General features: G+C 39.4%; 1 protein-coding gene across 16 annotated transcripts in view; it reads right to left on the bottom strand.

Annotated features, from left to right (window-relative positions):
* NTNG1 (netrin G1) overlaps positions 1530 to 11685 on the bottom strand; it is a 344836-nt gene continuing 334680 nt past the window's right edge. For all 16 annotated transcript variants that reach the window (XM_017000683.3, NM_001312688.2, XM_047449449.1 and 13 more), the window contains one exon: positions 1530 to 5842. In XM_017000683.3, the coding sequence (XP_016856172.1) occupies positions 5613 to 5842 (230 nt within the window). In that variant the 3' untranslated portion in view covers positions 1530 to 5612. The remainder of the gene's footprint in view (positions 5843 to 11685) is intronic.

Raw genomic sequence — 11685 nt, 5'->3', positions numbered from 1 at the left:
GGGGCAAAAAGAATCACCTATTCTTAACAGGACTTCAGGTGTGTGATTTTCTGCCATTTTCTGTCTTTTATTAGATTAAAATGACTGCCCCTTGTAAGAGCAAAGCTGTAATGTGGTACTATCAGGGCGGCTGGAGGATACAGCTGTGGTACTTTATGTCTTCAAGACAACTTGACACATTCTTGCCATGCAGGAATTTCAGAATCTATTCAGACAGATGTAGGAGGGGTAGTAATTATTTTTTCTCTTTCCAGTCATTTTTCCCCATAGAATTCACAGTTCACTAATTTAATAATAGTTAAAAGTAATGCCTTTGAAAAAATGGGACTAAGTTAAGAAAATGAAGATTGTTTTTACTTCCAATCCTCTGCAGTTTGCTTCAGCCAGGCAAGCTAAATCTTTAGTGTTAACATAATTAGATTTTGCAGAATAATGGCCCATTTTACCAGCTATCATTTTAGGTTAATAAAAACAGCACATAATTTTAAATGTTACTACTCCATTTTAATTCATCCTTCAATGAAAAACAGCTTTTGGGTGATGAGAGAAGGCAGAGGGGGATTCCAGCACTTAATAAATGCTCAATTAGGTAACTCTAAACAACCCCCCCTAACATCATTTAGGTCTTCTTGCTAGACTTGTTTCAAGGCCTACTCTAAAAATGTGTTAGGGACAGAACTTTTCTGCCATAGCAGATCTCAAGTAACTGCATTTTATTCATTATCATTATGAGTTTTTCACAGATGTTATTTTCTCATTTCTAGTTCAATGCAATAATATGATTTATACAAGCGATAGGTGTGTTTCTTAGTTATTTGATATTTCAGATGCAAAATGAAGATAATAATATGTGAGTCACACCTCACCAGGTGTTGAGAAGAGTAAAAGTTCACTATGTTCCCAAGATTACTGGTGAAAATTCAAAACATGATAGTTGGCATTCTTAATTCTTTCTGACATATTATGTTTATGTGCAGTTTATTCTGGGAATTTGTTGGCATCTGTTTTAGGTAGCTAAAGGAGAAAGCTACTTTTAGTGTAAGAAAGTAAAAACATAAAGTATAAAATCGTTCTATATGGAAATGGTCAGAACTGACAGAATATTTACGTCAGATGAACATTTGATGTTTCTTAGAGATAAAATTGATTAGAATTTAATCCTTATTTCCTGAGGCAAAGAAAGAATTGTGCATGGCCAGATACTTAAATCAAAACCTTGAGAGTGTCCCTTACCTGTATTTTCATTCCTCTATATTATTAAAACTTTCCAACTGGACTTTCTTTAAAAAACAAACAAACAAAAAAACAAAATAAAAAACTTGGAGTTTTACCTGGTGGCTCGTACTGTTCTCTGATACAGCTTAGCCACTGCCACCTTGCCATCCTTCTCAATTAAGGTCGGGAGTAGGAAAGGTAGGTAAGGAATTCTAGTTCAGATTCGGGAAGCTGAGCTCCGAGTTGCACCAGATCAAAAATACCTACAGTGTTTTCACATTACAAATATATAGAAAATGCAGTTCCCACATATCTTGGTCAATCCTGTGAGCAGAGAATCTGTTAAACAGGTATTTTATTTAGTGTTTAACAACCGGTAAAGTACAACAACCCATTTCCCATATAGTACAGAGCATCCCATTTCAGAATGCTGGGTCTTTACATCCCAATCATACTGGATTATTGATGGTAGAGGGTGAAGGAGATGGAACAAAATATTCGATGTCAAGATTTCCTCACAGTTGTTCCCCCAGTGCATCCAAAATTTCTTATACTCCAGTCAGACCACAGGTCCAAGAGAAGGTGAGGGGAGCATTAACTACAGGGCCAGCTGAACTGTGGAGCAGACGCCTTCTTCCAACCTGGACCTTTCTTTGTGTTATGTGGTTAGCAGTTTGTGCCAACTTAGGGATCTGACTCAAGGGCACCTCAGGCAGATCGACCCCAAATGTCTGCAGGATCTTGTGCAAAAGTACCAATGGAGGACCCCATGCCACATGTCTAAGTATTTAAAAGTCATACATAAAGCTAACAAACTGTTAAATTATCTTCCATCCTGCCACTTTGACACATGATGCTTTCATAACCCTTGGAAGCCCAGGTATAGATTTAGAATTCTTAGACTGTTCAGTGTTCTGTACTGGCCCCCAGCCTCGTGGTAGCCCTTGTCTATCTCCTTCCTACCCCTCATCCCTTTATTTTTCAGCCCTGGACTCTTGTTTTCATGGCAAGTGGCTTCTCCTTGCTTGTGTGTAAATTCCACAGTGAACACTCCAGGCCCCAGGGCCTAATCCATCCACACAGATGCACCCTTTGCCACTCCCTGTGCCCAGGTATATGCACTCAGGATGTTGCTTGCCTCCAGGAGTTTAAACCCCCAGAGGGGGCCTACATTTGGCCTAAAAGTGTGCGTGTGGGGGGCGGTTATCTGAGTAGGAAACTCTAGGTTCCTGATATCTGGGAGAAAGCTGGAGGAGAGTCAGAATGGGTCTCTCTAAGCAAGGTCCCCTCTTTGCTGGACTAAATTCTTCCCCTAGGCTGTGTACAGGGTCAGAAATAAATAACCCTCAAATCACAGCAGGGCATGTCCATTATCTTCCTATAAATAGCAAATCTTTCTAGATAGCTGAACCTTTGTCCCATTTTTTGAAATGTTATGCCCATCAATATTATTGATAGAAGGAATTATATCAGTTCTATGTGGGAAAGTTGATAGATTAACTCATATGCAAGACTACATTAAGCCACTTTAAGGGATTTATCAAAGGGAAAAAATACCAAGAATTAGGACCTCAAATATATGAACAACTGAGTACCCGCTTTTCACCCCAGTCCTGTTCTTAGGGCACAACATTGTAGATGAAACCAGCTTTGTAAGAATGCTGGAAAGTAACAGATGAATCAAGTCCACTGAGTTGAGGTTTCCTCAGAGGAGTAGCTCCTTTAGAAGAACTTGAGAATCCAGATTTAAAAAGAACATTTCATTTCCATTTGTTGTACACCTAAAAGTGAATTTTTATTAAAAGCAGATCACATCGCTTCAGGAAATTCAGAAAACTATATCTAAATACACGGAATGAAAGATATTCCTCATCAATTTAGATTCTTATGGCCTCATAAAGATAAAATGCAGATGAATCAGTTTAAATCAGGCCTTCATTAAATTTTAGAATTAGCTTTTGGAATCCCAACTATTGAAGTGTGCAGTGTCTGATTCCTGAGCGTTGCGACAAAGCCATGAGCAGATAACGATAAAGTGCATCTTTGCCAGAAATAACATGGGCTGCCTTTGGTTTGTGCTAATAAACTATAAGACAACTTAAACTCTAATTTTAATATCAGAAATCCACCTCATTATAAATAATCTCAAACTCCCTATGTTATCAGCATTTTCATGTGTTTCTTTGGTGAGCCTGAAATATAATTTTCTATTTATGCTTCCAACGTAAATCTCCAATTTCTGGTTGGCCACTCTGGCACTAAGCCTAAGCTCTAATTTATTTCCATCTTTCCTTATTTCTTACATCAAAAGAGACTGTTGGTTTGAATAACAAACATTCAATAGACTTAGACGTGGGGTGGCAGGCAGCACAGGCATTACCTGTTTACCTTTTATTGCCTTCTTCGAATTGGCTTTTCTGGGAACAAAACCAATAAGACATGCTGTTCCTTCATCTAGTTTTTACCCAGGTTATTTATCAGGAGACATTCCTCCCCCCTTCCCTGTTTCAGCAAGGAGTGGCAGCAGGGTGAAGAATTCAGACTGGAACTAGGTTTCTGACCTTACACTATCATAGGTTATTGTTCTACCAAGTCATGTAGAATTTCATTGTCCTTAAGACTCTGGTTCGGGCTGATAATTGTTTTTGATTCCAGGAGATGCTGCTGCTAATACACTTGTAATCTGTAGGACAACAGTGTGCTGGGAACGAAATGCACACTGTCTTAGCCTCTTTGAAACTTTGCAAAGGTTCTTCCCCACCTGCCTCCCCTTGCTGTCTTGCACAGTAATTGGCCTAATAAAAGGCAGAAACAAGAATTTATTACACCTTGGGCAGCACTTAAAACAAACTTTATTCTCAGGAACAGCAGTTATGTCTACTTGCTGCTTTATATTTTGATATTTCCTCTAAATACTTAAGTCTGAATATATTCAAAGTCAAATTGCAAATCACTCAATTTCCCTGCTCCCTTCCTGGTTCCCCAGGTTGCGTCTTGTGATACTCCATGTAAACACTGTATTTGGAAAGATACATAGATCAGCATCCCTAGAGTCACATGATCACCATCAATCTGTGAAAATAGCATGACTTAAAAATAAAAGTCTCTTAGTACTCTGCCAACAGGCTTTGGCATAATCTTGGCAATCACTTAGATTTTTTTTTTTTTTTTTTTTTTTTTTTGCTGTTGTAATTTTTCCCAAGTGGAAATAGTCTCATATTTTGCAGAAGTTGTCCAAGCTAGTGAACATCAATCCATCTTCCTGGGAACTAAATTCGTCAGCTGAATGTACTCAGTCCACACAGAAATCAGTAAAGTGAGTGTGAAACTGCTTGGTGGCTGTTCCTTTCATCTTAAGAAATTGCAATACAAATTCCTGAAATCGTTTATGCAGGAGTTTTTATTCTTTAAATCTTCCAGTGTTAAAGCAACAAGAAAACATTTAGAATGTCCTTTGGTGGAATCTTATTACACTTGTTATATATGTAAACTGATATTCTTTGATGCCAGCACGTTCGTTGCCCTTACAGAGAAATCTCTGCACAGTGAAACAAAACAGAACGAAAGAGGACAAAATAAAATGTCAGTCTTTGCTGATTCGAATTAGATACATTAACAGATTGTCTGGTAACACAAATTGGCAATAATACAAAAAATCTACATATTACAGTAGTTCAAGAAAAATAACTTCATTTGAATACAAAAGGATAGATACACTTTCTTTTTTCCTATAGCCACTCTTGTATAGTGGGTGTGTGCTCGCACTGGACTCAGTGCTGCTAAGATATACAGGGGTATGACTGGCTTGCGCTTTTAGAGGGGGCTGTTACACATGTGCATCACTAACATCAGACAAAGAAATCTTTCAACCAACAAGGGTTACAGAGCAACGTTCACTAAAGCACAGGTTGGAAGGGATTCAGGGACGGAAGCAGGCCAATATGGCAGCTTGTAACAGATTTCCTTATGCCCACAATGCACCTGACAGCAAAGAATGCTATTTGGTTGGTCCACACACTGGGCGGAGTCGTACTAGGGCGCACCACGCTAGAGTAGCCAATGTTTTTAGGTCGGTTGATTTGTTTGTTTTTTGTCTTTCCTGTTTGGGGGGCTGTCGCAGCCTTTCCAATCCACAATATGCTCTGCAGCTGGCAATGTGATTTGCAGTGATAATATCAACAGCTGCCAACTCCTCTGGAGTCAGAAATTAACAGTCTTGACTCGGATGTGCTGTCCACGGGTGATAAATATGGCTTAGTTCAGTTAGGCCTTCTTAGTTTGTACACTGTCTGAGTGGGGGTGTCTGTATGTGTGTGTTTCCTATGTTAGTAGCAAATGTTTGGGTTGTGTCTGCTTCCCCACGGCACAGGCCCGTCCGGTGTGGCTGGAGGTGACACCTAGAACACCAGGGGGCTGGCGGTTCCCAGCAGCGTGGTCAGCAGCAGCAGCGCTGGGGAGCCGTGCGGGGGCGCGCCCTGGCCAGAGTCGGAGCCGCAGCTGCCAGCCTCCTCGCACCGCAGCTTCTCGCAGAGGATGCCCGTGTATGCGGCCGGGCACAGGCAGCGCACGTTGTTGTGGCACGTCCCTCCGTTCTGGCAGTGCAGGAGCTCGTTGTCGCAGACATTCGCTGCAGAATGAGGGGGAAGGTAGGGGTGGGTGGGCGCGGGGAGGAGAAGCAGAATCAATTGAAGTTCATCTGGTACATCATGTTTTCAGCCTAAAAAAAAAATCTCTATCGATCTTTGTGCTCCCCCCTCCCCTCCACAAACGAAGCCCGTGACTCCAATTTCCAAACAAATGTAGTTTTCTGCCTTTGTTTTTATCATATTAGTCCTTTTCATATAGATTTTTGCTGCAATCTTGGATGTTATCATTGTCCATTTCAGGCTATAGAATACAAAGTAATGCAATAGTCCTAGTTTGGCAGTATCTTTTCTTCATGGAACTGGGACCTGTTGTGATCTTTTGGGTTTTTAAAGGACAAGTGCCCGATGCAAGAGTGCAGATCTTTGAAGCCAGATGAATGGTATTTAAAATGCAAAGCGGTATTGCTAAAATGACCAAAAACCTCTAAGGGGTGGGCCATTCTCTCGGTGCGTGATTCCAGCGCTGCATGCATGAAGACAGAACCCACCGGGAGGCATGGGGATGAGGAGGGGTGGGGACACGGGGAAAGTAGCATGCTCCAGGCAGGCGGCAGCCAGATGGGAAGAGAGAAAGCTTGTTTCATGGGAGGAGTGTGAGGAAAAGCAGTCACATTCGTCCCTGACAGCCTATTAAGGATTTTTATCACCTTGTAAATATGGGAAGTATAGCCCAAGGTTACCTTGATTTCCGGGAATAGTAATAAATGCGATGGTGAAACCCTGATTACCAAAATTTCATTATGTCCATCAATTAATGGAATCAGTTTGAATAAATCAAGACAAGCAACTTCAGAGACTAGAATTCATTCACAGACCCTGTCATGTAACTTTCACCTCTAATAATTTCTTATTTCTTCAAAATTCTGACTAACCTCATTAATTCCATGTCTCCTATTCTTTTAGATAATCACTGTTTCACTGATTTAGCAGAATGTTAACTAGAACCCAGGGAAATTAAAACAACAACAAAGAGTAAAAGAGCCAAGAACATTTCCCAAGCAACATATGCTGCTTAAGCATTTAATATATAGAACCCCTCTGGAATGGGAGGTGGGGAACAGAGCAGAAAAAGTAGCTTTTTATAAATTGTAACATTTTCCATTTTTAAAAATGTCATGGTGAAATTTCCCCAGGGATGCCACATGAGTTCAACACACTACACACTCATATACACATACCCAATATTACTATTAAGTGCAAAGTATTAAAAGAAAACAACTCTACCCTCCAAGTAGTAACTCAATAGAGAATGTTGCCTTGTCCACTAATTATGTTCAACAGTCATGTCAGCTTCAAAAGAAGCTTCTTACACACAAACATGCCAGTGCTTTGTGTGTCAATGAGCTTAGGAAAGATGGTGGTGGATACCCACATGGTTAATAACAGAGTGCCCTAAATAGACCACTGTTTTACTGCCTTCCTCAACATTTCCTTGGTGACCTCTAACACGGTTGCGTAGTGTATTGGCATAATTTTCAAATGTATCCACGTTTGCTATCTGTAAATGTCAGAAGTGACTATTAAGGCCTACTAAATCCTTCAGGCTCCAAATATTGATATGCAAGGCAGTGTTCCATGGTTTCTAATGATTATATAAGCTACCTCTTATTGAGTGGCTTAGAAATCATAATATTAGAACCACATTATTTTATGAGTCATGGTTAAAAATGTCAAGATCTGTAGCTGTGAAGCAAAGTCCACATGTAGGGTGGTTAGCCTCATGGTCAAAACTGACAAAAGCTCTTGTTTTTTGGCTTTAGTTAATTTGGAAAGCATATGTAGGTTTTCAGGATTTTATTTTGCTTGCACTTGAAGAAATATGTTTAATTGGGGCAACATGGAATAAACAGATCCAGATAACTGTTTTCAGCTAAAGTTGAAGATCCTCAGCATTTCTTGTTCCAGGCAGCAGAATGCTGAATGGGATATTTCCTTTCATTTGGGCACTAGAGGTAGGGAAATATCTGTTCCATCAATATCGATAATTGCTTGCCTTGAATAATTGAGAAGAAATCAATAGTTAATTACATATCACTCCCCTTTAGAAAAAAAAAGCTATTTTTCTTCTTCTTGGATGTGAATATAAATCAGCTGTTGAACAGAGGTTTCTTTTTTCAAGAAGCTGGTGATTAAGTTAAAATTCAATATTTTTCCTGCATTTAAGTAATTACTAGTTGATTTTAATAGTTGTGAGAAATTTAATAAATATACTAGGAACAGATATAGCCCAGAATTAGTAATCTCATGGATTGGCAGGATATATTTTCTGTAGGAGATCAATAGAGAAAAATAAAACCTATAATATATTTCATTATTTAGAATTCACTATAAAACATATTACATTTGGTCTCTTGATTGTGTTAGTCCTCCAACAAATACAGAACTTTACCATACATACAGTGCCCTCTAACTGTTGGAATCATGGGCTAGAAGCACATCTAACCTAATTATGGATCTTACCTGATATTCATAATCATGCTCCATCTTCATGTCATTTTGAACCAAAATTGTGGTAGCTAATAAACAAGCTAGGTGGTTAACAAATATCACTGAGCTCTTCTTCAGTGTGCTCAACCTTGCACTTAACCCCGCAAAGAAAATAAAAGAAATATAAAGGATGATTTCTGCTCTTATGAAGTTTAAATCTGGCTGGGATGATAAAATATCTATAAGAAATGATCTAATATTAATGTCATTAAAATGCCCTTATCAATTCCATTGAGCTTAACCAATATCTGTTGTATGCCAGGCACCCTGCTATATTTTATGGTTGTAACTAACTGTCCTAAAGGAGTACCTGGTTTGGCAGAAAATAAATGGAAAATAAACACACAAACACATATTATGATATAGTATAAAAAAAATCTACAAAAAACGTATTTACAAATTACTGGGGAAACTCACATGATAGTATAAATAATTACTTTTGGGAAGATTAAGGGAGATTATAAAAAAGAGATTGTATTTGAGCAAAGGCATTCATCAGGCAGATACTTGTAGAAAAGCCATTATAAATGGGGAAACTGCATCAGTAAAGACAAGGAGATGTGAAAGTGTACTGTATTGGTTATTAAGCAATTGTCTTTTAACTCTAAATCCACCCTTCTGATGTTGAGGCCAGAACTCTGCAAGTTGTCTGCTGGATCCCACCAACAGGGGGCACTAGAGGGAGCAGAGAAAGTAGGAGGCATGGAAGATCCTGTTTCCTTGACTCTGTTTGATGGTGCTCTAACAGTACTGCCCAGCAACGGCCCTTCACATCAACAGCAACATGTGGTTCCAGTGTTGAGCTTTATTCATAACCAGCTTCATCACACCGTTAGAGGTTCCTACACCAGCCTGGTGGCACTCCTTCCCTAGAGGTTTAAGCCTCAGCTCCAAGGAGGCTCTACTCAGCATTTCAGAGGCAGCTGCAGCAGCCAGCCATTACCCCACCTTAGAGGTGCAGGTTTCAGCTCTGTGGGGGTCCCTTTTATCCAAACTTTTACTTTCTGATAACTCAATCCTCTTTCCTGTAATCCCTCAGTCCCAGAGTGATAGATGGTTCCTGCTTACTTAACACAGGAATTACTTCAGTATCCTGTTCTCACTTTAAAATTTCAAATACTTTTTAAACCATTTCTTTTAATAAATTCTCTCTGTTGAAATACCTAGAAATGGTTTCAGTTTTCTGCCTGAAGCCCAACTGAAAGACACATTAGTGAATGATGCATGGACTGCTATGGCTGGAATGATGGATGCACAAAGGGAAAGGCAAATGTGACCTGGTTGTGAAGGTGCCACAGTGGAGTTTAGTAATAAGGAATGGAAAGCTGTCAAAGACTTAGAAGGAGGGTGGTGTTTAAAGGAGAAGAGGAAGGTGAATCTAGACCAGAAAAACGGCAGACTGGAGGTAAGGAGACCATACTCAAATAGAATGGACTTGGACGAGGTTAGAACAATGGTGAAGGGAAGGAGGGAAAAGATTTGGAGACAGGTTATGTGAATGGATAAGAGAGAGTCTAAGCTTCCTGTTTGGGGTATTTAGATGCATAATAAAGAAATTTATTGAGAAAAGAAGATAAGAGGAAGAGTTTGGTCAGGAGAGAGAGAAATGTTTTTTGGACCTATTGACTTTTAGAACTGTCAAGGTTCTTCTGCAGCTGTTTTGTTATTAGTTGGAAAACTATTTAATGGAACAGGAGATAGGTCATCCTGGAGACACAAATTTGGAGCTGGGGTGGTGGTGGTCGTTGTTGCAAAAGATGAATCAAAAAGAGTAGAAGACTTCATCCTAGAAGAATATAGACCAAGTAAAAATGAGGACTACAGATAGAAAACTGAAGAACATCAGCATTTAGGCCATTGGAAGAGAAAGACCATAAAGGATGCTGAGAAGAAAACAATGTCAGAAAAATGCAGTGATCCTATGAAGGTATGAAATTAACCGCAGAAGTCTTCCTGATGTGAATGACTGTATCTATGAATCGACAAACTGGAAAAGTGTGACAGTAAGGGCACTTTGAGTTGGACAAATGAAATATGCAAAATAAACATTGCATGTTCTTGATTGACTCTGTCATAAGGGGTTCTTGAATAATTGGAAAAAGGATTGAAAAATTTTGAAGAATTAACATTTAATGGATGTCTTTGGATGTCAGTCTAAAGTAGTGGTTCTCAACGCTGGATGATTTTGCTCCCATGGGTATTTGACAATGTCTGGAGACATTTTTTTTGGTTGTCACAAGTGGGTAGGGAGGGCACACTACTGGCCACTGATGTGTATAGCGAGGCCAGGAATGTTGCTAACATCCTGCAGTATACAGAACAACCCCCCACAACAAAGAATTACTTCTCAATTAATGTAAAAGATAAAACGATAAGGCCTGGGTCAGGGCATCAGTCATAGCAATGAAGAAGGGCAGTTGTCCCTGATATATTTTGGGGAAGGTACAATAAAGAAACTTTGTCATTTCTAGATCAGGAAGATAGTAAGTTTTCAGGTGCTGAGCTGTGGGAATTAGAGGTGACTAAGTACTTGAATTGGAAATGTAAGAGTGGATTATCTTCTTCAGGGAGTAAATATAGGAGACTGGGATCTAAGACAGACCCTTTAGTACTGTTCACAATGAAAGGGTGAGAGGAACAAAAAGCACCCCTGCTATGTAATTTGCTTGCATAGAAGCAGTAAAATCAGAGCTTGCAGGAAACTTTAGAAACCATCTAGATGAGCTGTAGATAAGGAAGCTGTAGATAAGCAATTGAGAGTAGAACTGGGACTAGAATCCAGGTCTCCCAATTTATAGATTACTGCTCTTCACATAGAAAAGAACAATCAGGAGAAATGTGGTAAATAATATTGCACAGTGCCACATTCCATGCTCCTCAAAACATAGCTGACTTTCCCACTTACCAGGGAGACATGAACTCTTCTATAGATAGTCAGTAGATTTGCAGCTGTATTGACTAAGTGCTCTGCTTTCATATCACACTTTGACTAGGCAGAGGTCTTTGTTGATAGTATCAATTGTTACTCATCCTAGGGTTTTACCACATTTTGGTAGAGCTCCAAGTACAAATCAGCTCATACAGAAAATAAACCAGAAATGCCAATGTCTAGGCTGAAAATGGCAAATATGTCTGCATTTACACTGTCATTTCCTCTTCCCCTGTACATAGGAGACTGCTATGTACAGAACGTGTGTTCTCTCTAAAACTCATGTTGAAATTTATTTGCCACTGTAACAGTATTAAGAAGTGGGACCTTTAAGAAGTGTTTAGCTCATAAGGGCTCCACCTTCATGAATGGACTAATGCTGTTATTTTGGGAGAGGGTTTGTTATCA

Source organism: Homo sapiens, chromosome 1 (genome assembly GCF_000001405.40).
Source record: "Homo sapiens chromosome 1, GRCh38.p14 Primary Assembly".
Classification (NCBI taxonomy): Eukaryota; Metazoa; Chordata; class Mammalia; order Primates; family Hominidae; genus Homo; species Homo sapiens.
This window is presented reverse-complemented; position numbering and strand designations above follow the sequence as displayed.